Genomic DNA, 27,758 nt, shown 5'->3' with positions numbered 1-27,758 from the left:
CAGCTGTATTTTGGTCAGAAAAGCTAGATAACTTCATACATAGGAAATGACTAGTTGGCTTCAGAATATAGAACTCAGGAAGACATTTCTGATGGAAATTACAAGGATATATTAATAGTGGTGCAGTCCGGGCGCGGTGGCTCACGCCTGTAATCCCAGCACTTTGGGAGGCCGAGGCGGGCGGATCACGAGGTCAGGAGATCGAGACCATCCTGGCTAACACGGTGAAACCCCGTCTCTACTAAAAATACAAAAAGTTAGCCGGGCGTGGTGGCGGGCGCCTGTAGTCCCAGCTACTCGGGAGGCTGAGGCAGGAGAATGGCGTGAACCCGGGAGGCAGAGCTTGCAGTGAGCCAAGATCATGCCACTGCCCTCCAGCCTGGGCGACAGAGCCAGACTCCGTCTCAAAAAAAAAAAAAAAAAAAATAGTGGTGCAAAGAAGTTATGAGGGGCCAGGGAACCTTCTGATTTGTGGAAGGATCCCAAAGTGTAGGTTATAAGTCTGGTGCTGAAAAAGAAAAATCTTCTTTTTTTTTTTTTTAGATGGGGTTTCACTCTGTCGCCCAGGCTGGAGTGTCTCGGCTCACTGCAACCTCTGCCTCCCAGGCTCAAGTGATCCTTCCACCTCACCTCAGCCTCCCAAGTAGCTCGGACCACAGGCATACACCACCATGCCCAGATAATTTTTGTGTTTTTGGTACAGATGGGGTTTCACCATGTTGCCCAGGCTGGTCTCAAACTCCTGAGCCCAAGTGATCCGCCCGCCTCGGCCTCCCAAAGTGTTAGAATTACAGGCATAAGCCACAGCGCCCAGCCTTCAAAAAGAAAAATCTTAACTAGCAACAGAGACACACACACACACACACACACACACACACACGCACGCACAATTGATCCTTTTTATCTGGACAAGCCTGACTAATTATCTATGTACCTATCTATCTATGGACCAATGTGTAGCTTAAAATATTGGTACCCATTCTGCCTTGATCCGAGGGTAAAGAGCTCTCAGAGTTCTCAACAAAACAACTTGAAAGTAGCATTTCACTTGTCAGAGAGCGAGGATAACTGTACCTGAGGTAAACACACATCCAGTTCCCTTTGAGGTGCAGCTGAATAAGTGTAGCAACCAAACTATCTCCAAAGTAACAACTTTACACGACCCAGCAAGTTCACAGCAAAGTCATACAAGTCTAGGGAAATCACAGTGTTCCTTGAGAAGTGTCCCAGCCTGGGTCTTTGAAAGATGGACACACTTGTCATCTGCTAGAAGAAACCTTGGAGAAAAACAGGTCTAGGGGTGACAGCTGAGGCCAGCCCATATGAGCCAATTAATTTTGGTCTAATAGCTGTACCTGTCTGAACCAGGTTAATAGTATCTATTGCATAAAGCAGATCTGGGCATTAAATGAGGAAATTTATGTCAACAGTGCTCGGCCATTGCCTGGCACAAAGAAAACGGTCAAGAAATACGATTTCTCTTAATGGCAGTAGAAGCTGCTGTTTCTAAAGCATTTCCTATGTTGTCAAAATTATATATTTTTCTTCTTTACGTCTTGCAAAGGAAGCATTATCATCTTGGCTTTTTGTTTTGTGTGTGTGTGTGTGTGTGTGTGTGTGTGTGTGTGTACAGATGAGGAAACTCAATCTCAGAGAAGTTAAATAATGGCCCGAGGCGCAGCTGGAAAGTGGTGGGACTAGAATTTAAGGCAGGCCGTGTGGGCTTCCTCAGTCGGCCTGCTCACCAGCCTGCTTTCATCTTTCAACACTCACTGCCCAATCTGACCTTACATAGTGGGCTCTAAAAAATAAAGTCAACCCAGAAGCCAGATATTTATTTGTTAGTAAGGGATGAGGGGAGAATATCGGGGGAAAATACTTGAGGATGTGTCCTGGCTTTACCTATTCTCCTCTGGATGGGCAAAGTTATGGACTTATTTCTTCAGACTTTTGGCAGTTGTTTGTTCCCACCAAGGAGGGCAGTGTCACTACATCAGTGCCACCAACTCAGTGGAGGGAGACAGGTGGTGATGCTGAACAGTTTCAGTGACAACATAAATCACAGCTGTTCACCCCATCAGTATCAAAATGGGGATAGGCTAGAGAGCTAATCGGGTTACAGGGTTGTTCAAAGAAAGATATTTGGAGGCAAATAGTTTCTGTGGAGACTATCTTATCCTCCATGACCTTGCTGGTGTATTCCGGTGTCCCTCCTAGCAGAGGGGTGTGGAGTTTGGGACCATAGATTTTGTAACATTTAATTCAACTCTGAAGCATGAATTCGCATTTAAAATAAAAGCAGTTTGGGGCTAGGTGTGGTGGCTCATGCCTGTAATCCCAGCACTTTAGGAGGCTGAGGAGGGCAAATCACTTGAGGTCAGGAGTTTGAGGCCAGCCTGGCCAACATGGTGAAACCCCATGTCTACTAAAAATACAAAAATTAGCTGGGAGTGATGAGTCACACTTGTAATCCCAGCTACTTGGGAGGCTGAGGCAGGAGAATCGCTTGTACCTGGGAGGCAGAGGTTGCAGTGAGCTGAGATTGCACCACTGCACTGCAGCCTGAGTGATAGAGTGAGACTCCATCTCAAAAATAAATAAACGAAATTAAATCACATTAAAGCAGTTTGGACTATAAGGTCTTAAAAGTTTTGTGCCTCAAAACTTTGGTGATGCCGTCTTTCCCAGTGGCGCTTGTCTTGTCCTTTTGGCTGACCTATTTTCTTTTCTCCTTTTACTGTGGCCACTCTCTAAGATTCCTTGTTTCTAGGGTCCTTCATTTCTCATAGCTTTGGGGAATTCAAGCCCTTGAAGTGTCACCTCAGGATTGGGTTGCCCTGAATGCCTCCCAACCCATCCTCCTCTCCTCAGTCCTTTCCTAAACTCATCTGCCTTGAATGCAACAACCAGAATTTTCTTACTTTCAACCTTTTACTCAATAGTTTCCAATTATTTTCTCCTTCTCAAGCTTAAGCCTTCTCAAATTGGATCTGACATCCACTTTTATTCAAATAATGTTTTTATCTTATGAAAAAAAGAGATCCATTTAGAATAATAATTGGGGCAACCTCAGTCAACTGAACTTGGAATGAGTATAACCTTCAGGGATAGCAGCCAATCATGAAACATTGCATGGATGGGGTAGCACAGAAAAGCAAAAGTCAACTTGAAAGGATTGCAGTAAAGGCAAGAGGGGAATTTACTTGATAATATAGCAAACTCAATGTTGAAGTGACTATAACATCAGGAGTTATTATTGGAAAGAAGATAATAGGTAGCACTGAAAATGTCATGGGCCCTATGTTTCTTCCTAACCAATGATTCGTTTTTCACTGGACTTACAACAGGAAGTAATTCATCCTGTTATAAAGAATGTAACATTTCCTTCCATTCACATAGCAGGCTGGAGTTTGGTGATTTTACTGGAAATGATGTTTTTTTTCCTTGGAGAGAATTCTGTTTCTATGAAGCACATACAGCTGCTGAAACCAATCTGAAACAGGTTAGAGAGGAAGAGAGGCTCAGCGGCATACAGGATAGCATGAGTTTAACTGGGAACATGTCAGAAGCAGCCAGCAACTTTTTTTTTTAAACAGGGAATATTGAGAGTAAGCAAAGCCTGCTTTTACAGAATTCAACTGATGCATTCCCAGTTAAAGATATTGAGATGGTATGTTAGCAAAGTCTATGAACTTCTTCTGTTAAGTAACTAGAACAGAGAGGAGAGATTTGGACATGTCAGCCAGAAAATGTGGCTCCTATGGAAGAGAGTGAAGGTAAGGTCAGAAGACTATTCCCAGTCCCACTGTGTGTGTTCTTACCTCTGCCTTAGTGATGATGGAATTACATAGCTATTGTGAGTCACTGTGTGCCTGTCCTTTATCACTCATTGTACTGAGGATAAAATCATAAATTGTTCACAGTTTTCATCATAGTCATTGTCAGTAAAATTCTTTTGTCATCTTCATTATGCCCAAAGTTCACCCTTCTCCCTTGCTGCCGTTGATTAGAGGTATTTGGAAAAGATGAGCCCTAGTTGATTTTCAGGTGCCAAGGTAAGTGGAAAGTGCGTCTTCAAAATGCTCATTTTTCCCAACTTCCTTCCATCAGGAGGTGCTGCATCTCACAGAAACAAATTGCATTTTCCATGTGGACTCTCGTTGGATATTAGCTGCCATCTGCTTTGTGCCCTCTCCAGAAACTACTACAGGTCCCTGTCATGGGATGAACTGTGTACCTTCAAAATTCATGTGCTGAAGTCGTAATCCCTAATCCCTCAGAATGTGGCTATATTTGGAGAGATAGTCTTTAAAGAAGTCATTAAGGTAAATGAGGTCATTTGGGTGAACCCAAATCCAATCTATGACTGGTATCCTTATAAGAAGAGATTAGGATACAGACACACAGAGAAGGAAGAACATATGAAAACATAGGGAGAAGGTGGCAATCTACAAACAAAGGAGAGAGACCTGAAAAGAAATAAACTCTGCTGATACCTTGATTCTGGATTTCTAGCCTGCAGAACTGTGAAGAAATACATTTCTGCTGTGTAAGCCACTCAGTCTGTGGTACTTGGTTATAACAGCCCCGTATTATACTAATACGGTATCCTTTCTGCCGCCTGCATTGCTGACTCCTGAATGTGGGGACATAGGCAATTGTGTTTGTTAGACACACAGAAAGGACAGATGTGATCTACATCAAGCCTAGACTCCTGCTCCTTGTTTTCTAGGTTCTCTCCAATCTTCCTCTCCTCTTCTGCATTCCAAGGCTTATCTCTCTGGCATGAACTTTACAGGACCATCAGACAAGGTTCCTTCCTGTCTTGCTCACTGCACCTCCCGTATACATTGCTAAGTTCCACTCCTCCAGTGTCCTGATGTGGTCCCTTCTCCACCCAGCCCCCAAAGCCCAGATTTCAATTGCTCCTCCACTGTTCTCACCTTCTGCTAGACAGGTACCCTGCTTTGTAATTGGTATGACACCATTTCAGGCTTGAATTGTCTTTCTTCACAGCCTTTCCAATTTTTTTTAAAAGGTATATTTAGGCTTACACAGGTACATAAAATGAAGCAAGATAACATACATTTGGCAATGGTGAAAAAGGAAAACAAGGTCAGAGATAAATTAAAGGGAGCCAGGAATGAAGCAAACATCGGAGAGCACGCTCATCTTGCTACAGATTTGGCTCACTTTTCAAGAAACCAACTTAAAAATGGAAACTTTACAGTTACACAATTCACACTGTATATAAAATGGAAACAAACTGATTGCTCAGAAGTAAAACTGTTCCTGATATTATCGAAAGAAGTATATTTCTCCTGAGAGTTCTAAAACTGCTTTATGTAAGAATGGCATTTTCAGCATCTTCACAGTGGCCAAGTGATGAGGTTTTTTGAATGCTGTCACAGCATTATACCAAAGTTTAATTCAGTTAGGCTACAGTAAGTCCTCAGTTAATCCAAGGCCTTAGATTTTCAAGGTCTTAGAGGAAGAAAGGGATTACGTATGCTGCAGGCAGTTCATCATATTGCTTCTTTTAAATGAGCATCGATCAGTACTGGATAACAATGAGCAATGAATTTAGCAATGGCAAAAGCCTACAAATAGAATTCTGGCTTGCCAAGTAAGTTTTGATTGCTTGTGTTAAAGGCGACAAAAGCCAGGAATAGGCCAGCCATGGTGGCTCATGCATGTAATCCCAGCACTTTGGGAGGCCGAGGCGGGTGGATCCCCTGAGGTCAGGAGTTCAAGACCAGCCTGACCAACATGGCAAAACCCTGTCTCTACTAATAATACAAAAATTAGCTAGGCATGGTGGTTCATGCCTGTAATCCCAGCTACTTGGGAGGCTGAAGCAGGAGAACCACTTGAACCTGGGGGGTGGAGGTTGTGGTGAGCTGAGATCATACCATTGCACTCCAGCCTGGGCGAAAGAGTGAAACTCTGTCTCAAAAGAAAAAAAAAAAAAAGAACCAGGAATAAAGATACGATTCCATTTGACAGTGCTCTAAAGCCAAAGACCACCAGGGATGCACCTGAAGTCAAACTGAGTTGGGTTTTTCTTGGCCTGTTGCACTGAGGGAGGCTGCATGTCAAGGGGACACATAGGTGGAAGGCACAGAGAGAAGGTGTGAGAGGTTTACATGATGGGATCTGAGGTGGTGGTAGATGATTTTGGAGAGAGTTCAAGGAAACATGAGTTTGCTCTGGATACGGTGCTGTCAGGAATTGGGCCAATTCTGACTGGGTATCTGAATTTTTATCAAGAAGGCAGGAAGAATAAAGTGTGATTAAAGCTGTGATTATTAAGAAGCTATAGTCTCTCTCATAAGCTGAGAGAAATATTTTGGTAGTTTTCACAGTGGCCTTATTTTTGTCTGTGCTCAGACATGACTATGGGGTGAATGTATTTCTGTCTCACTTTATCTCAGTGATAGAACGGCCTTGTCTAGCATTGTTTTCCATAGTAGCAATACCAAGACCTAACTGCTAGTGCCAGCCAGCTCCCAACTATCAGGGGCTGTGTTTCTTTCTCCCACTCTATAGACTGAGGAGCCTAATGAGTAAGTATGGATGAAACGAAGGAAATGCCTTCAGAGAGACAAGATTTTACCCTAAAACTTTGGTTTGAATCGGTGTAAACATACAGGCAAATAAGGAAATTGAGACCTCTCTTATTTCTTCTAATAAATAATTTAATCATCTAAGTCTTAGGGCAAACCCCTCCCCCAAGCAATATCAAGCTTAAACTTTGATTTTGCTCTTGGCATATAGATCCTGGAGCCTTGGATCATCTGGCTTAGCTGCAGGGCATGTGCTATGTATGAACTTCCCTTTAGCGTTTACAGATTATAGCTGTGACTTCTTCGTGTTACTTATTAAAAATGTAACTCCTTTTTTGTTTACAAAAGCCGAACTTTATATAAACTATTAACTCAAAAAATTATTACTAAAATATTACATTATAGAAAGTATGAAACAGGGAATAAAACCTGTAATTCCATTAGCAACACTAACCCAACTATAGTTATCTTGCTTATTCCTCTAACGACTCTAACCCAACTACTGTAATCTTTGTTTATTCTATCTTTTTCATGAACATTTAAAAATAGTTTTAATTATACTGCATAACATTCTATAATTTGCTATTTTACTTTATAATGTGTTGTTTTTCCTTACATCTGTGCTTTTCCATGTAACTATGGAATCATTTTAATGACTGTTTATATTGGCTGCATAAAATTTCACATAAATTTACCATTTTCTTACTTATATTTCTGATAGAAATATGTAATTATTTTCTTTTATTTCTGTTTTACTAGCATTAGAATGAAGATTTTCCAAGTTTATAGAATTATCTTTTTCTTTAAAAAAGATAATTTCTGGGTCTTTTCAACCCAGAACTTTTCAAGGTTTTCTCTTCATGCTTGAAGTTTGGGAGTTTTGCCAAAATATGGATAAATGTCTCCCTTCTTTCTATAATAGTGCCTGAAGTTTATTAGGCATTTTCAATTTAAAAACTCAGTTTTTTTTTTTAAGGGAAGGTTTTTTTTAACTTCTGCTTCTTCTCCATCTCTTCACTTTTTTCTTTTCTTTTTCTTCTCGTGCTGGTTTCCTGGGTCTGCTTATGTTTTTCCTCAAGATTACTAGACCTTTGTATTTTTTTCCTTGAGGATATACTTATTTTATCCTTTTGATCTTCCAGGCCATTGAATTTGAATATCATCAGTGATCATCGTTTCCTTAAATTCATCTAGTGACTTAAAAAAAAATGAATGCATGTTTTCTAAGAAGTCTTTTGTTATGTGCTGAATTTGAATCCCTTTAAATACTCTTTTTATCATTTACTTTTTCATTTTTTTTTTTTTTTTTTTAGTACATTGCCCTCTGCCTGTTCCAGTCAGTTTTATTTCATGAGGGACCAGCTAATCCTTGTTTATTTTTCCTGTCTCTGATTGTTGAGCCCCCTTAGCATCTGGTTATTTTTCTTTGCTGATCATTGGAGTTCAGTGGCTAGGATACCTTAACTGGGATTGAGGGTGGGGTGAGATTGTCTGAGAAACAGAAGGTGTGGTGATCTGACCCTGAGAACTGGCTGGGCTGCAGTGAGAAGTCATCAACTCCCTATCATGGCATGAGGAAGGGTGGAGGAGGAGGGAGGTTCTCCGTGGCTTTCCCAGCCTCAGGGGGAGCTCTCCGTCCACCCTCACAGCTCCTCATGAGCTTCTCTGGGCCTGGCGAGACTGGCCAATGTCAACTTTGTCAACTTTCCCTACAGAGGTTCAGCGATCTCAGGAGATCAAGCTATTCCCAGGAGCTGGCTGCTTCAGATCCTTGCTTTGGAACTACCTTCTGCTGCCTCTGCCTCCCAGGCTCCCACTTGGCCCAGAGGGTGGACACACCACACTGGTGTGCAATGTGTGTAACGTGTGTGTGCAGTTTTGCCAATTCACTGCCTGAGTGGATGCTAGGCTGAGGGGAGTGAGAGAAAGCTGAGGAGGAGCTGTGTGTCTAGGAAAGGCAGGAGACACCAATGCACTATCTTTCTAGATTCTCCTGCTGCCATGCTTTCTAGAATTATTTTAAATATTTCAGCTCAGTTATTCTTTCCTATAACTTTAGAAGAAATCATTCTGTGAATTTTTCTTGGGGTGGGGGAAGGAGGTAAATTAGCATCTTTCAAATATTTACTCATGGAAGATATGGCTCTATATTAATTCAAGCCTTCTTTATTATAAGTTTCATTATTTTTTATGTATAAAGTCACACACTTTTCTCATTAAGGTTTTTTCAGATACTTGGTATGAATCGTATTTCTTTTATTTTTCTCATTATATTTTCTTTTTAAGTATGTTCATATTAATTTCAAGATGCAGGCCGGGTGTGGTGGCTCACACCTGTAATCCTAGCACTTTGGGAGGCCGAGGTGGGCAGATCACTTGGGGTCAGCAGTTAGAGACCAGCGTGAACAACATGGTGAAAACCCATCTCCACTAAAATTACAAAAATTAGCCATGCCTGGCAGTGTGCACCTGTAATCCCAGCTACTTGGAAGGCTGAAGGGAGAATCGCTTGAACCCAGGAAGCAGAGGTTGCAGTGAGCCAAGATCGCGCCACTGCACTCCTGGGAGACAAAGGGAGACTCTGTCTCAAAAAAAAAAAAAAAAAAAAAATATATATATATATGTATATGTGTGTATATATATGTGCGTATATATGTATATATACGCACATATATGTATACACGCACACACACACACACACACACACACACAAAAGGGTAGAAAGTAAAACCTAAGTCTTCTTCCTGCTCTTGTTTTTAAATGCCAGTGCCCTTCCCCAGAGGAAACTATAGCTGTTAGTTGCTATAAATTCCTTTCGACCGGGGGTGGACAAACTTTTTCTGTAAAGCCCCAGGTAATAAATGTTTTACCCTTAGTGGGTCATGAAGTTTTCATCACAACTATTCAATTCTACCATTATTTTGTGGATAGTATGAAGAGTGTGTCGGCCGGACATGGTGGCTGGCGCCTGTACCAACATGGTGAAACCCTGTCTCTACTAAGAATATAAAAATTAGCAGGGCAGAGTGGCACTTGCCACTAAAAAAAAAAAAAAAAGAGTGTGTCTGTGTTCCAGGAAAGTTTCATGGACATTGACATTTGAATTTCATATATTTCATGCCATTATATTCATCTTTTGAATTTATTCTTCTATTTATTTTTTTCAACCATTAAAAATATTTTAAAAATAAAAAAACAGGTAGTGGGCTGGTGTTGGCCTTTGGGCCAGTTTGCTGACTGCTGTTCTACAGGCATTCCCTGCATATTCAAGCACATGTAGATATACTATATTTTTCTTCTGTTTCTTTGTTAATTTGTCTGCAAACAGGCTCCATGTCATATGTATTGTCCTGCACTGAGCTTTTTCTATTAAGGTTTCTTGGTGATCATTCCACGTGGGTTCATAGAATTACTTCTTTTGTTTTATTGGTCATGTGATGTTCAGGCATGTGTCATGATACATTGAGGAGAATTAAGGCTGTTTCTTTTTTGTTGTTGTTTTCTCTTTTTTAAAAAAATCTCTTTCTTTTTTGAGACAGAGTTTTCCACTGTTGCCCAGGTTGGAGTGCAGTTGTGCAGTCTCAGTTCACTGCAGCCTCCACATCCAGGGCTCAAGCGATCCTTACACCTTAGCCTCTCAAGTAGCTGGAACCACAGGTGCATGCCACCACACCCAGCTAATTTTTTTTTTTTTGTTTTAGACCGAGCCTTGCTCTGTCACCAAGCTGGAGTGCAGTGGCGCGATCTCAGCTCACTGCAACCTCTGGCTCCCGGGTTCAAGTGATTCCCCTGCCTCGGCCTCCCTAGTAGCTGGGACTACAGGCACATGCCACCACACCTGGGTAATTTTTTCATATTTTAGTAGAGAAAAGGTTTTGCCATGTTGGCCAGGCTGGTCTCCATCTCCTGGCCTCAAGTGATCTGCCTGCATCAGCCTCCCAAAGTGCTGGGATTACAGGTGTGAGCCACCATGCGGCTGGCCTAAGATTGTTTCTGATGTCTACCTTCTGTAAGTAATGCTGCAACATATATCCTTGTACATTTGCATTTGTGCACCTCTGTGATTCTGTTTGTAGAATAAATTCAAAAAAGTGTAATCAGAACTAACAATTCAGCACAAATATAAGTAAAGTTTCTAACCAGAGACTTGGCTACTTCTGTTACAGTTTTAATGTCCAGATCACAGCAGAACTCTGGGTGATTTTGAATCTTTTAAGCAATCACCTATTAATAGGGATCCTAGAGGATGTGGACAAAATTTGTAGGTACAGGCATGTCTTTACTACCAGTGTGCAGAATGGAGAGGAAAAGAGTAGACAATGGACCCATCCCTTGTAGGACTCTGAAGGCTCCAAATGACCCATCAGGGGTACAGAGTTTCTCTTACTACCCACAGGGGTTGATTGCACTGCACAGATCTGGAGAGGACAGAGTGATGGGGTTTGAGGTAGGATACAAGTATACAGTTTGAATTTTTGTGATTCACCAAGATTACGTCCAAAAAGATGATGAACTATTTTTATAAATGAAAATGTATTTTAATGGCATAGAGGTACTGTCTAAATGAATCTTATGAATCATTTCATAGAGCAAATAGTTCTCTTGAAGCATTAAATGTTTTACAATAAGTCATATTTTGAGTTGGCATGTGACAATTTCTGTTTGCATGTATAAAAAGCTTTTGTACCCAGGATAACAGGTGCCCCAAAAAGCACAAACTGAAGATAATCCAAAATCAGGTGTATCCAGGTCCAGCAAATGACTTAGTCACTCCAGGCTTGTTTCTTTACCTCAAAAATGAGAGGGTTAGGATATTTGCTCTCTAAGCCCCCTTGCAGCTTTGGGACTATGCACAATGTGGACAGTCAAGAAATGCTCAGTAGACTGAAGTCCATGACAGCAGAGGCAGTATCTACTTTTTCTTGTTATGGTGTCACCTGCTACTTAGAATAGAGTATGGCAGGTTGGGCATGGTAGCTCATGCCTATAATCCCAGCACTATGGGAGGTTGAGATGGGAGGATCACATTAGCCTAGGAGCTCAAGACCAGCCTGGGCAATATAGTGAGACTCCCATCTCTAAAAAAACGTTTTTTAAAAAAAGCCAGGCATTATGGCATGCACCTATAGTCCCAGCTACCCAGGAGGCTGAGTTGGCTGGATAGCTTGAGCCCAGGAGTTTGGGGCTGCAGTGAGCCATGATCTCACCACTGCACTCCAGCCTGAGCAACAGCGTGAGACCCCATCTCAAAAACAAATAGTGTATGGCACATAGAAAGCACAGGAAACATTGGTTAAATAGATGAAAAAATGACCAGATTGCAGAAACTTTCCTTTTTGCATTTGCTGTAGACTCTTGTCTGATTCAAAAGTCATTCCTCTTTCCTCCTTTGTATCAGAACTCTGTTACTGTCTAAATTATGTCTACCCTCCTCCACCTTGCCATAAGTTTCAGAGGACATGGTCTTCAGACCTAGTGCTAAAAGGTGGCACTAACCAATTACAGTGGCTTGATTTCTCTTGCTTATGATTGTTGTGAGCATGGTCACATGATTTAATTCTGGCCAATGAGGAACTCTGGCCAATTAGGGAAAAAGTGCTACTGGGGCTCTAGAAAAGTTTCCTCACTGATAAGATAGGACCCCTTGAAGAAAGCAGCCTTCCCATTGCTTGAAAGAAAGCACGTCTACTTCACTCCTGAAGCTATTCAGCCATCTTGCAATCATTAGAGAGTCAGTTTGAGGAAAGCTAAGACCAGAGTGATGGGCCAGAAATATGGAAAGGATCTGAGTCCATGGTGACATGGTGACATGTAGAAGTTCTGAGATAACAAAACCGAAGCAGCTTGTCTTCTAAAATTTTTTGTTAAGTGAAATGGTAAATTCTTTATGGTTTAGATAAGTTTATTGTTTTGTTACTTGTAGCCAAAATAATCCTAATAATATATTACCTTTATAGGATTTATGCAGATGGCTGTTGAAAATTAAAGAGCCCTCATTGGCTGTAACATGGAGCTTCATGGGTAGAAAATAAGGAGGCATTTTTCTTGTCCTTTCTCCTGCTATGGAAAATTTTAAGAAGCAAAAACTTTACTAAAATGGGGAAGAGTCTAGTATTTTTTTTTTAAGAAAAGGCATTCCCATTGCAAATTTTATAAACCGTGAAGAAATATTACAGATCCAGGCTGTTTTAAAAATGATTTATGAGGATAGTTGTAGTAGAATATTTCCACTTTGAAACAAAGTAACACTGTATTTGGTTAAGAAGTTTCTTTACTTTTATTTTTCTTATGGTTGCAGACAAAAGGAATCTATTCCAATTTTTTTTTTGTGAAATCCACGGCAAGAACAAGATATTGACATCAATAACCAAATCAATAAAATACAGGCAAAGCACTCACATCTGTGTCAGTATCTTCAAAATAGAGAAATGTCAATTCAGTATTTACTCAGTGTCCCACCCACAGCAGGAAGCTGGGTGCTGAGGCAAGCTTGCTAGAAGTTCAGGCCTGTACATGATTAGCCTATAGTATTATGGGAGCAAATTATAGGATTAGCCAAGGATAAACTATTATTAGACTTGTCAATATTTGTTAATTGCTGGATAATACTGTGGTGAGACAGAGATGAGATGTATGAAACAGTATCTCTCTCTATTTCAATCCCAAACACACATAAACACACACACATTTTGGACTTTGGCAGTGGATCATGGTAAGCACTCATCTAAAAGACACTGCAAACTTAATTCTTAGTTACATGGAATTTTCCCAAGATTCTGGTGACAGGTGTCCAAAACTCTGCTCAGATGCTTTTATTTTAAAGCAATCTTTGCTTATGGAAGGCACCATAGAACTCTAAGAATAGACGTCCAAAGCCACACAAAGGAAGGTGTTATAGAAAAACAGAGGCTGGGCACAGTGGCTCAAGCCTCTAATCCCAGCACTTTGGGAGGCCGAGGTGGGTGGATCACGAGGTCAGGAGATCGAGACCATCCTGGCTAACACGGTGAAACCCCGTTTCTACTAAAAATACAAAAAATTAGCCAGGCGCAGTGGTGGGCACCTGTAGTCCCAGCTACTGGGGAGGCTGAGGCAGGAGAATGGCGTGAACCTGGGAGGCGGAGCTTGCAGTGAGCCGAGATGGAGCCACCGCACTCTAGCCTGGGCGACAGAGAGAAACTCTGTCTCAACAAAAAAAGAAAAGAAAAACAGAGCAACTGGGTGATTGTATTGAAAGGAAGGGTCTTTGGAACCTTGATTGACAAGTTCTACCAGTTGCAGCGAAGGAGGCTTTCCATTGAGTTATGTGCTCATGACATTCTTAGTCATGGACTGACTTAACTTTCTTGATCTTAAATAAGTAAATCCTTTCTTTCTTTTCTCCCTGTTGTGTTTTCTTCCCCACTCATTTGCCCTTCCTCTCTCTTTCTTATAGGTTTGATGGGATGGAAATTTTATATTACCAGAGTACAAAAGTGGGCTTATATCTTTTCACAAATAGAAGGCCTATCTCAATGGTAAAGCTACTGGTTGGAGGTAGTGATACATGGCGTACTCTATTCTGTTAAGGTCTAGAAGTCTTCATAGGAAGGATAAGTCCACATGAGGTTAATCGCATACTTCAGATTCAATATTGAGCTTGGTTCCATGCAGTAGAAGAAGGCTGATGTAGTGAAAAGAGAACAGGGTTTAGGGTCAAGCCAGCCTGAGTTCACAAATCATCTCTGTCATTCTTTAATTGTGTGACTGAAATCACATAATTAGCCAGTACAAGATAAGCCTTAGTTTCTTCATTTGCCAACTGAGATACTAATACAGACCTTGTGAGGATTAAGAGCAGGCATGGGATGCAGGTGAGCACTTACTCATTCTACAGACATTTATTGAGTACTGCTCTGTTCCAGGCATATTTCAGGACAGGACGTTAAAATCAAATATGGGCTGGACACAGTGGCTCAAGCCTGTAATCCCAGCACTTTGGGAGGCTGAGGCAGGAGGATCACTTGAGGCCAGGAATTTGAGACCAGCATGGGCAGCATGGTAAAACCTCGTCTCTATTAAAAAATACAAAAATTAGCCATGTGTTTTGGCTCATGCTTGTAATCCCATCTACTCAGGAGGCTGAGATATGAGAACTGCTTGAACCCAGGAGGTGGAGTTTGCAGTGAGCTGAGATTGCTCCACTGTACTCCAGCCTGGGTGACAGAATGGGACTCTGTCTAAAAAAAAGAAAAAAAAAAATACAGCACAGTGCCTGACTCTGAAGAGTTTACAGTCCATTGGGGAAAGCAGATGTGTACATCAATGATTCCAGAAAAGAAACCCAGAGGAGGAGGCGAGAGATAGTGATGATGATGATGGCATAGTGATGGAGAAGGTTTTCTACTGATGGCATCTGAGATGTGTTTCAAAGGACGAGTAGGACAAGGAGAAGTGAGGGGAAGTGCAGTTAAGGCTGAAGAAAAAACATCCACAAAAGCTACTAGGGTTTACCAGAGCATGAGCAATTATCACTGGGGCTGTGTGGCTGAATTGAATGAAGTGATGGAGGCAGTGATAGGTGGTGGTGAAATAAAAAAAATTGTCAGGGCTGGGCACGGTGGCTTATGCCTGTAATGCCAGCATTTTGGGAGGCTGAGGTGGGTGGATCATGAGGTCAAAAGATTGAGACCATCCTGGCCAACATGGTGAAACCCCGTCTCTACTAAAAATACAAAAATTAGCTGGGTGTGGTGGCGTGCGCCTGTAGTCCCAGCTACTTGGGAGGCTGAGGCAGGAGAATCACTTGAAACCGGGAGGTGGAGGTTGCAGTGAGCCAAGATTGCACCACTGCACTCCAGCCTGGCAACAGAGCGAGACTCAGTTTAAAAAAAAAGAAAAAAAAAAAAAAGTCAGGAATGCCACAGTAAAGGACCTTGTGTGCTAAGAAGTGAAGTTTGAATTTACCAAGTAATATGGTCACATAGCCTGTAAAAGATAGGTAGCTAAGGGTGGAACTCAAGTTATCTAAATCCAAGGTCAGAATGTATTCTCCCATGTAGCTCTCTACTTCCTTTAATGTGGTACGTTAGCACAGTGATCCTAATGTCAGTGCCTGTGGAGGTCACCTATAATAGTATAATCTGGAGTGAAGAACGTTGGATGTGTAGCCTAAGTTTCCCCATGGAGCTGAGAGGCACCCACCTATAAGTCAGTGGCTTGCCTGGGAAAAATAGGCTATAGGTTCTAAAGCAGGGAGAGTCTGAGCTTAGGTACCAAAAGGACCAATAGAAGGAGTAAAGCTCCTCCAAAAGTGAGTGAGGGTGGAATAGAGGATGATACCCATGGGTCAGGCAGCAAGTAAACACAAGAACAGAGGAGGAAGTTAGGAATAAGGATTGCAAGGAGGGAAAGAGGGTTCAGGATCCTCTACATAACCAGGGCTCAGAGGCTGGGAGCCTCTTGTTATTTATTAGGTGCTGGTTGCAGAGGGTGTGCGTGGGTTAGTCACCCTAGGTTGGCCCAAAGAGCAAGTCATACTTGGCTCCTCCAGTGTAACTGAGATCACCTTGCAGTATACCATGTTTGTACCTCATTGAGGAAGCTTTCTACTTCCTTCCTTCATATCTTAGCTTGTGTTTTTCCTTCTTATGTCCTAAGGCCCTCCAAAGGGAAGGTGTCCGTTGAACATTTTCATTATAAAATTTTCTTGGGGATAACCCAGGCTTTAAAATTAATTTCAATTATCATTTATTGAAACTTCCTTGCCTGAGGACATTATGCTAACTTGGAAACCTAAAGAACACCACTGTCCCAGAAATATCAGGTTAGATAGAATTTACATTTAGAGATGTTAGATGGCAGAAGAAAAAAAAAAGGGACCCAAGGAAACCCTGTTCCAGCTGCTTCCTGGGCTCAAGAGCAAATCTAATACATGTATTCAGGTAGTGTCATGTTGGTAAACCTGTTTCCGTTTGTTTTGCTGGGGGTTGATTTCCAGTCAAGTTGTTTGGGTATTAGAACATAATGTGCTGACTCTGGCAGCCCTGGTTTGCTTTGGTAGAGGGATTAATGTTGGTATGTGTCACTGAATGTAACCAGTTCTTTGTATTCTGACTCTTCCTGTCCAGACTAAGGAAGCACACTTCTTCAAGATCACTTTTCAGTGTCAGTTTGTAATCTTGATTTTGACCTGGAAAAAATGAAAGTATACTGGTTTGGTTCTCGCCAAATTCTAACTGGTGCCCTAAATATGTCAAGCAACCCCTGCACTGTGTTACCAGCAGGCCAGCTGGGTCTGTAGTCATCCAAGATTCGCTTTTGAGTTGATGTCAGTTACTGGCCCCAAATCGATGCCTTTTGGGGAAAATCTAATGCTCCAGTTTGCAATGGCATTGATGCTTTTTAAGTGGCTTCAGAGCCAAGAAAGACATGGCTCTTTATAAAATCGTTTGCAGATTCAGCAGTGTATCTGCTGTGGCAGGACTTCTTTTTTTTTTTTTAATCTTAAAAAAATGTAGGAGGCTGTGCCTTTATATGGAGCAAAGTTGCAAAAGTCTTTTCCAACTTGTTAGAGACTCAAAACTTCCTTTAGAATCCTCAGTGGACTTTGAGTTCAGCAAAAATGTAGTGCCTGCATTCTACTAAGTCATCCAGTGAAACCACTGGGAAATCTCAACTTTCAAACATCATGATGAAAGGATACAGGCACCTTATATCTTGCTCCTGGAAATGGGACTTATCAAAGCAAGTTATGCTAATGCTGGAACCAAGACTCTTGCTTCATCTTCTTGCTTCTTTCTCCTCCTGTTGCTTTCCTGCTTTCATCTCTTCTCTAGGACAGGGAAGTAAGGGTCAATCACTCACATCCTTCTGAAGGAATCCAAATCTTTTCAGAAGGTTCATGTTTTCTCTTCCATCAGTGCACTCAAACTTGAAACTTGTATTCTTGAATGACTAAGACTCCTTTTCTTCTGTCCTGTGAAAACATCCCTGTGATTTGAAAATGTTCTGATAAACTTGAGTCAGAAAAATCAACAGGTAGAATGTAAACTTAACGATCTTCATTTGTAAACTTAATGATCTTTGCAGAAATCTTTGTTTTGTTAATTGAAGTATCCATGCTCTAGGAACAGTGTCAGGCATAACAGCAGTGCTCAAAATATTTGTCAGATGAATAAATAAAGGAGTAAGTGTGTTGATCATTAATTAAGTAGGTCCAGAGAGTACAAGGAGCTACTGGAAAAGTAGACTTTTCCACTGTTTTTTCCTCATGGGCTGAAGATGTTTGAAGCATGGAGTGGGGGTAGAAGAATGGGTTTGGGAAAAAGTTTGAGAAAAAGTGTAACTTTTAGAGAATAATGTCAAAGGAGAACAAGAGGCTTAAAAATAAATACTATAGAATTGAAAGCAAGTATTTGAATGGTTATTTGTACACCAATGTTCATAGCAGCATTATTCACGATAGCCAAAAAATAAAAATAACCCAAATGTCCATCAACAGATGCATGGATAAAAAAACTGTATTACATACATACAATGGAATATTATTTAGCCTTTGAAAGGAATGACATTCTGATGCATGTTACAAGGATGAATCTTGAAAACATTATACTTAACAAGCCACATGCAAATTAAGCCAAACACAAAAGCAGGGCACAAAAGGATAAATATTATACAATTCCACTTATATTAGGTAAGTAGACTAGACAAATTCAATGAGTCAGAAAGTAAAATAGAATTTAGCAGAAGCTGGGGAAGTGGGGAATAGGGAGTTGTTATTGTTTAATGTACAGAGTTTCTGTTTGGGATGATAAATAAGTTCTGGAAATAGTAATGACAATTGCAAATATTGTGAATGTACTTAGTGCTGCTGAATTGTATACACTGAAATGGTTAAAATGGTCAATTTTATGTTAAGCATATTTTCCTACAATTTTAAAAAGCAAACACACAACAAACCTGACATTTTAATATGCCCAGGAAGCACGGGAAACTTGTTTGTTTGGGTTTCTTTTTCTCTGTCATGGCACAGGAGACTTTGGCATCTGTCAGACTTGGCTCAAATCCAAGCCCCACCGTTTGTTAATGGTGTGGCTTTGGTCAGGCAAGTTCACTCCTCAGAATTCCAGCTTTCTTGTTGGTAAAATGGAGATAATAGAAATGCCTAATTATTGTGATGTGAGAATATACGTTATCGTGGAGGTAGTATGCTTAAGTACAGTGACCTGAAACATGGCAGGCAAGCAATAAATGATCAATTCATGATCTCTCCCACTCTTTTCCCTATGCCTATGTCTTCCCTGCATCCTCTTCCATCTCTTCAATTATTTTTTCTTCCATTTTGCAAAATTTGGTTCTCTGATCCAGGTTGTATTAGTCTGTTCTCATGGTACTAATAAAGACATACTGGAGCCTGAGTAATTTATAAAGAAAAGAGGTTTAATGGACTCACAATTCCACATGGCTGGGAAGGCCTCAGAATCATGGTGGAAGATGAATGAGGAGTAAAGTTACATCTCACATGCTGGCAGGCAAAGAGAGAGTGTGCAGGGGAACTCCCCTTTATAAAACCATCAGATGTCGTGAGATTTATTCACTATCAGAAGAACAACACAGGAAAGACCTGCCCCTATGATTCAATTACCTCCCACCAGGTCCCTCCCACAACATGTGGGAATTATGGGAGCTACAATTCAAGATGAGTCTTGGGTGGGGACACAGCAAAGCCATACCACAGGCCTAGATATCTGACAGATGGTATTCCCTGGCTGGACTCAGGCAAGAGTTCTGGCAGAGAAAGCAGTTTCTGATCCAGGTGAATGTTTTAAAAACTTTCTGTGTAGTTATTTAAACTAGAGTGCATATTCCTTTCTATGTGCCTCTGGCATTGCTGGCACAGCCTACACGTTCCTCAATGCATCGTGGAATTCAGAGGTCACCCTGTTTCTTGGAATATCATTTTATCTTCCTTACACCAAAGCATAAAGGAACTTCCTCAACCCTATGTGTTCATGCCATCAAAGCCCTTGCTTCATGCTCTTTTTGAAGTTATTTAAGAAACAAAATGTAGGCACTGTTTTAAAAATTAAAAAGTTCTACAATGATTATAATGAAAACCTGTGGTCCCTTCTCTCACCTCTTTCCCACCCTTGATCCCAGCTACCCAGAGACAAGTACTGTTAACTTTTACTACCCTTAATGCTAGTATTTCACTTCATTTTCTAAATGATAAAATTTTACTACTAAATCTTATTTTTTATTGAGTTAGAGATTATCAATTGACTTGTTACTATCAAACGTGAGAATTTTACTCACTTAAAACTCCTCACAGCTCTGCCTCCATGTTCTTCTTCTCTATCCTTCTATTACACAATGTTTGATTATAGTAATCGAGTTGTAGATTACTATTATTAATAGTTGTATTTATATTTTTATAACAATGTAAATCTTATTCTTGTTTTTCATAACAATGTAAATACGAATCGTGTGTATTTTAATTTTTCTTGTACAATTACTTTTTATTTTCTTGAAAATAATCACCTAACTTGGTTTGGTAAATCTTTCTGAGAGGATGCATGGCTGAAAATGTGTTTATTTCACCCCTCTCTCATTTGATTAATAGTTTGATTGGATATAGAATTCTAGGTTAAACTAATCTTTCTTCAGCATATTAAAGCCATTCCATTTTCTTCTGGTGTCTGGTGTTGTTGAGAAGTCTAGTGACATATGGTTGTCTGATCTATTTGTGGCCTGTTTTTTATTTCTGGAAATATTTATGATCTCCACTTTGTTCTCAGTTGTCTGAAATGTTGTGGTGATGTATCTTGGGGTATATGTGTTTTATTGTGCTGGACAGTCAGGTGGCGGGAGAGGTCCTTTCAGTCTGAAAACTCATTTTTTTTCTCTTCCAGTAAATTCTCATGTTATTACTTCAATGATATTCTTTATCTCATTTTCTCCAAACTCTTCCTGGAACTTTGTCTTCGAGTATTGGGCCTCCTAGACTGATCCTCTAGTTATCACGTATTTTGTCTCTTATTTTCTCTTTCTTTGACTTCTGTTCTACTTTTTGGAATTTTTTTTATCCATTTTATTTTAGAATTATTTTGCTGACTGGTTTATTTTTGGTTATACTATTTTTAACTTTCAAAAATTTTCCTTATTTTTGGAATATTACTTTTTTATAAAATCCGATTCTTATATACGCAGTATTTTATGTTTCAAAGCTATGAATTATAGAGATTTTTTTAAACATTTTCTTCTGTTTTCTTCATTGACATGAATTCTTCTGAAGCTATTTTTTCTTGTTCAATTTAGTCTGTCTTGCATGTTGGAAGGCTTTTTAAAAATTTGGGTGATCTTTTGGCTGTTTGTACTTAAGAGTGAGGAACTAAAATGTTGATTAAAACCATGTGCACGAGTAGGGCTTGCTGACTGGTGATTTTCTCTATACATGGTTTTGTTCAGTACCTTGCCATTTTTAGAGGGAATTCTGACCGTCGGCACCTACAGATCCTTTTCCTTGGTCATATCAAAACCCTTAGTTCCCTGTCGTGTGTGTGCATAGAAGCACGTATAAATCTGGCTGAAATATTCTGGGAGTTAAGAAGACTGGGGCTCTGAAAATAGACAATGTTTACTCCCAGCGTGCTCCACCCTGTTTTCATCCAAAGTTCTGGTTTATTTCTTGCAGAGTGTAAACTTGGTTATTAAGATAAGAGAGAGAGTAATCTGGGTTATGAGGAAAATCTAATGAGTTTTCTATTTGCTGTGTGGGTGGAGGAGGTGGGAATATGCTTTAAAAACCCAACTTTAGAAAAATCTGAGGCAAAATCAAATGCTTATAAATAGGGACAAGGTTAAGTAGATGGTGGGAGGGCTATATCATGACATATTATGTAACCTATACAATAATAATTTAGCCAAACATACATTATGTAGAAAAATGGTCACAATGTATGGCTAAGTGAAAAAATGCAGGCTATAAAATATGCATAATATAATAGTATTTTATTAAAACAAAAAATATTCTCACTGTATAATTCCTATTGCTATAGATATTTCAGTTGTACGACAAAGGATGTGTTAATAAGACAGGCCAGGAAATAGAACTCTGAAAATAAGACCAAACAGTTATAAGAAAAGTTTGTCCCATTTGATGCAGCTATAAGGAAATTATTTTCCCAATAATTTTGACTTTTTATTTTCTACATCATTTAATCTATGTGGCTCACAGAAGCTTTTGCCATAATTATTTGGCCAAATTAGATGTGAAGTATAAGCCCTATGACCCTGAGGTATAAACCCTATGACACCAAGCCCTATTGAGTAACCTGCAACAACTGCCTCTGGCATGAACTGAGGAAATTCAAGAGCCCTGGGGCCAGTGGGGACATGTAACATGAAGAATGGAAGCGAGCAAGTTGCAAATATCTTTGGGAAAAAAACCATTTTTTTTTTTCTTTTTGAGACAGAGTCTTGCTCTGTTACCCAGGCTGGAGTGCAGTGGTGTGATCTCAGCTCACTGCAACCTCTGCCTCCCGGGTTCAAGCGATTCTCCTGCCTCAGCCTCCCAAGTAGCTGGGACTACAGGTGCCCACCACCACACCCAGCTAATTTTTTGTATTTTTAGTAGAGACGGGATTTCACTGGTTTGCCAGGATGGTCTCGATCTCCCGACCTTGTGATCTACTGGCCTCAGCCTCCCAAAGTGCTGGGATTACAGACATGAGCCACCATGCCCAGCCAAACCCAGCGTTTTTGTTTTATTGAGGCTCTCAGAAGAAATGCTTCTGGTGTATTTTATCATTAAGTATGAAAGTGGCTATTGATTTAAAAGTGCTGTATATTTTTATCATTTTAAAGAAGTGTCTTTGTAATCCTGGTTTTCAGAGAGCTTTTATTTAAAATTGCTTATTCCATTTTACAGAATGCCTTTTGGACGTTTTATATTATAAGGTTTGTCTTATTTGATCCATTGATGTGCCATATTAGATTTCTTAATATTAAATTTTTCTAGCATAGCACAATAATTATGACTTGGTTATGGTGGATTATGCCCTTTATGGTATCTTTGAATTTAATTTGCTAGCATTTTATTTGGAATATTTTCATTTGCATTTATAAGTGACAACGATTGATAGGTGCCCTCACATGCGTGTGTGTGAGTGTGCGCATGCGCTTTCACACAAGCTATTATTGTCAGGCACGGACCAGGATTTTTCTTTTTTTTTTTTCTTTCCAACTTTTATTTTACGTTCAAGGGGTACCTGTGCAGGTTTGTTACACGGGGAAATTGTGTGTTGCAGGGATTTGGTATACAGATAATTTTGACACTCAGGTAAGCAGAATAATATCCGATAGGTTGTTTTTCAGTCCTCACCCTTCTCCCATCCTTCACCCTCAGTTAGGCCCCGACGTCTATTGTTCCCTTCTTTGTGTTCATGTGTACTCAATGTTTAACTCCCACATATAAGTGAGAATATGCGGCATTTGGTTTTCTGTTCCTGCGTTAATTTGCTTAGGATTGTGGCCTCCGGCTCCATCCACGTTGCTGCAAAGACTATGATCTCAATTTTTTTTATAGTTGCGTAGTATTCTTTAGTGTATACATACTGCATTTTCTTTATCCAGTCCACTTTTGGTGGCCACCTGGGTTGATTCCACGTCTTTGCTATTGTGAATAGTGCTGCAGTGAACATAGGTGTGCATGTGTCTTCAGGGTAGAACGACTTATATTTCTGTGGGTAAATGGAATTGCTGGGTCAAACGGTAATTCTATTTTAAATTCTTTGAGAAGTCTCCAAACAGAACAGGACTTTTCTGAGTAGAGTGTTAAATATGTGGACAAAAACTGATGGAACTGCAAGAATCAATAGACAATGCATATTTATAGTTAGAGATTTCAATACCTTTCTCAATAACTGAAAAAACAGAAAATCTGTGAGAATATATACAATTTGAACAGCACTATCAACTAATTTGACCTAATTGACATTTGCAGAACACTCCACCCAACAACAGCAGAGTTCATATTCTCTTACAATTCATATGTAGCATTTATCAAAATAGGCTACATTCTTAAGTTCAGGTCTTCAGGTCTTTTGTCAGCTTTATACCTAAAGTTTTTATATTTTTGATGATGTCAAATGTATTGTTAAGTTTCATGTTCTGATTGTTGTTAGTTTATAGAAAGACAATTGATATTTGTGCACTGCATTTATATCCTGCAACTGCTAAACACATATTAAGTTTAGGACCTTTTTTTATAGATTTTGTAACATTATCGGGACAGTTGATAATGTCATTTGTGAATAAAGAAAGTTTACTTCTTCCTTTCAATCTGGATGCATTTTATTTCTTTTTTCTTGTATTATTGAATTGACTAGAATCCCTAATACAATAGTGAATTGAAGTGGTGAAAGAAAAGACCTTTGCCTTATTCCTGATCTTAGGGTGAGAGCAGTCAGTCAGTCTTCTGCTATTAAGTGTGATGTTAGCTATAAACATTTTGTAAACGCTTTTTGTGAGGTTGAGGAGGTACCCTTCGATTTCTAGTTTGCTGAGATTTTTTTATTAGGAATAGATGCTGTATTTTGTCAAATGCTATTTCTGTACCTACTGAGATGATCACTTGGTTTCTTTTGTAATCTATTAATATCACAAATTACATTAATTGGGTTTCAGTTGTTACACTAGCCCTGCATCCTTAAGATAAACCCCATATGGTCATGTTGTATTATCCATTTTCTGTGTTGCTGGATTTCATTTGCTAATATAATATTTTGTTAAGAATTTTTTCGTCTGTGCTCATGAGGAATATTGATCTATTTTCTTGTAATGTCTTCATCTGGTTTTGGTATCAGCATAACGTTGATCTCTTAAAATGAGTTGGGAAAGATTCTATTCTCTTCAATTTTCTGGAGAGATTAGGTCATAGTGGTATTATTTCTTTCTTAAATATTTGGTCGAATTTACCAGCAAAGCCATTTGGAAGGCCTTGAATGCCAGGCTCAAGAGCTTCGACTTTGCTCAGAAACCTGAGATAGTTTCTATGGTAAAAAGATGATGTTTGCAAAGTGGGTTTTGGAGAGATGAACCTGGCAGCCATGGGCAGGAAATATGTTGGCAGCGAGGGCAATATAAACACCCAGGAAAACATTATATTCTAATTTCCAAAGTTCCTGCAGAAAAAGCTTTTGTTTAATCTTTCACAGGCTGGAAGGAATTTCCTACATAGAAGGGAAAGTGACCCCATTTGATGAAAACTGTGAATAGTCTGAAAGATTTTTCTATATGGGGAGGCAATGAGTGGGCTGCAACCATTGTCACTGAAAAATTAATTCTGCTCCCTCAGGTTTCTAATTCAGCTAAATAAATCCAACCTGGCTTGACACTTACTTTATGAAGTGCCAAGACCAGAGTTAGACTGCAGCATTTTTAAGTGACTAGAATTTTTTAAAGACGATTTTAGATTTTCTTTTCTTTCTAGGTTTAAAGAGTCATGAAAGAAAACTGGGGCCAGGCGTGGTGGCTCACGACTGTAATCCCAGCACTTTGGGAGGCTGAGGCAGGTGGATCACTAGGCCAGGAGTTCAAGACCAGCCTGACCAGTATGGTGAAACCCCATCTCTAATAAAAATACAAAAAAATTAGCCAGATGTGGTGGCATGCACCTGTAGTCCCAGCTACTCAGGAGGCTGAGGCAGGAGAATTGCTTGAACCCAGGAGACGGAGGTTGCAGTGAGCTGAGATCGTGCCACTGACTCCAGCCTGGGCGACAGAGCAAGACTCCATCTCAAAAAAAAACCAAAACAAATCTGAAGGACCTATTCATAATACAACTCTGTAATATTGCCACCTTCCTTCGATACCAGAGATTTGTCCTTTTGAATAAACATGGTCTCCTGTTCTGGGCATGATATCCAACATATTTCATTCCACACTGTTTATTATTTTTATTAAACAATATTGAAATTCGATTTATCAGATTGCAATGGCCAATCTCAATGAGTTTCACTTTATTGCATTGGCTCTCAGGGTAGGATAGGCCAGGCCAGTGCCAACTTAAAAGTTTAGTAAGTTAAACTAAAAATAATAATATGAAACCATCATATTTTATAAGCCCTTTTCAGCTTATGAAAATATTTCCCCAAATATAAGTTTTATGAAAGCATCTTTCAGCATTTCCTTCTGAACTGCAACCCAAACAATGCCTAAGCACATTTCTAATATAATAAAGTGTTGTTGGGAAAAAACACTGTTAGGGAATGGCTTTCACTTGGCATTAGTTTGAATGACTTGGCATTGTCACCAGGGGTGGTGGTATTTTAAACACAGAACATTCTGCACAGTGATTTTCATTGTAAAGTCTGTGATGTCAAACCTCAATAAAATTTCTTTCTGGAAATTGAACCTGCAAAATGCACCCATGGCAAATGTCTTTTATTCAAGTGCCTTAAAAACAAAACAAAACAAAAAAGCTCACATTTGGATCGTATACATCTGTCATCCCGTCTGGTCCCCATAACAACTGTGTGAAGCAACTAAGTCAAATTTTATCATTCACTCATTGTACGGATGCAGAAATGGAGGCATGGAGATGGAAGATAATTGACCACGACTATAATAAGTAAGTGGCAAAACTAAGATCAGAACTCAAATCTCTTAACTCTGGCTTTCATGCTTCTACATATGGCATACTGCCTCTCCAGAGGGACAATACGGAGATGGTGATGAAGTGATTCCTAGTTTGCAAGATTCAAAATATACACACTTGGTATATTCATAGCGTAAGCCAATATTACACTCCTGGAGTTGAATATTTTGTCGATAAGTTTCCAAATGTTACAATTCCATAAAGAAATGTCTATGTTTTACTTTTAAATAAGATATTTTTTCCACCCATTAATACTCTGTTTTGATGGTATCTCAGAGAACTTACGTGTGGGATTTTAGAAAAAAAAAGAGAACAGGCATAGATAATGTGAATTTATTTAAATGTATATAAAACAGAGGTTTCTAACTTCTGATATAGACCTTTTTAGAATCCCCATATACATAGACACCAGGAGATACAGGAATTCCTGAAATTAAATGTAAAATTTTATGAGTTTAAATGTTTTCTGGGAGGATCTTTTGGTTTCATTGGGCTTTTAAAGTGGGGTTTGTTTCTTGAAAAACAATTACTCTGATAGACACAAAAAATAATTCCTCCTGTCCTCCACCAAAGCAGCCCACAAAGATATCTCTATCTCCTGAGCTTTCAGAGAGTGTGCTATCTGTCTGGCATGTTTATTTGGGACCCACTGAGCTTTGCTTTGCCATTAAACTGTTATACATAAGAGGGACTTCATCTCAATAATCTGTTTCAGAGTACACAGAACCCTTTTGTGCCTGTAGTAGATGCTTAATAAATCATAGGCTTAAATGTTGACTTTAAACTCTCTGATAACTAGGGTAAGAACCCATGAGGACTGTGGGATCAAGCAATGCTTAATTAAGGTACTTAGTTGGCACATCAATTCTAAACACACAAAAACTAAGTAACAGGTGTGATTATCAAGCTATAGGATAACTTTAAAAATAACCCCACCAGTGTATAGTAACCTAGATGACTGTTACCATTTCAATGTAATTCCTTTCCCTGGTTATGTGTTTTTTCGAAGATGTTGCTTGTATTAGTCCATTTTCACACTGCTGATGAAGGCATACCCGAGACTGGGAAGAAAAGGAGGTTTAATGGACTTACAGTTCCACGTGGCTGGGGAGGCCTCACAATCATATCAGAAGGTAAGGAGAAGCAAGTCTTGTCTTACATGGATGGCAGTAGGCAAAAAGAGAGCATGTGCTCCCATTTTTGAAACCATCAGATCTTGTGAGACTTATTCACTATCATGAGAACAGCATGAGAAAGACCTATCCCCATGATTAAATTATCTCCCACCAGGTCCCTTCCACAACATGTGGGAATTATGGGAGCTACAAGATGAGATTTGGGTGGTGACACAGAGCCAAACCATATCATTCCACCCCTGGCCCCTCCCAAATTTCATGTCTTCACATTTCAAAACCAATCATGCCTTCCCAAAAGTCCCCCAAAGTCTTAAGTCATTTCATCATTAACTCAAAAGTCCATAGTCCAAAGTCTCATCTGAGACAAAGCAAGTCCCTTCTGCCTATGACTCTGTAAAATAAAAGCAAGTTAGTTAC

The 27,758-nt window shown here is 39.7% G+C and overlaps 1 long non-coding RNA gene across 1 annotated transcript in view, besides 1 other annotated feature; it reads left to right on the top strand.

Annotated features, from left to right (window-relative positions):
- The first annotated feature begins 814 nt into the window (after window positions 1-814).
- The window catches only part of LOC105375957 (uncharacterized), a 45,278-nt gene continuing 18,334 nt past the window's right edge, over window positions 815-27,758 (top strand). The window contains exon 1 of the long non-coding RNA XR_929436.3: window positions 815-27,338. This is a non-coding gene — a long non-coding RNA (uncharacterized LOC105375957). The remainder of the gene's footprint in view (window positions 27,339-27,758) is intronic.
- Window positions 17,370-17,878: an enhancer, noted in NCBI's record as "NANOG hESC enhancer chr9:2677398-2677906 (GRCh37/hg19 assembly coordinates)". NCBI's record gives its function as "activates a minimal SCP1, AML or CMV promoter by ChIP-STARR-seq in naive H9 embryonic stem cells {active_cell/tissue: H9 hESC(naive)}" and the evidence as "EXISTENCE:reporter gene assay evidence [ECO:0000049][PMID:30033119]".

The sequence above is a fragment of the Homo sapiens genome, chromosome 9 (genome assembly GCF_000001405.40).
Source record: "Homo sapiens chromosome 9, GRCh38.p14 Primary Assembly".
In the NCBI taxonomy this organism is placed as follows: Eukaryota; Metazoa; Chordata; class Mammalia; order Primates; family Hominidae; genus Homo; species Homo sapiens.
The sequence above is the reverse complement of the archived record's forward strand: the minus strand, read 5'-3'. Positions and strand labels throughout refer to the sequence as shown.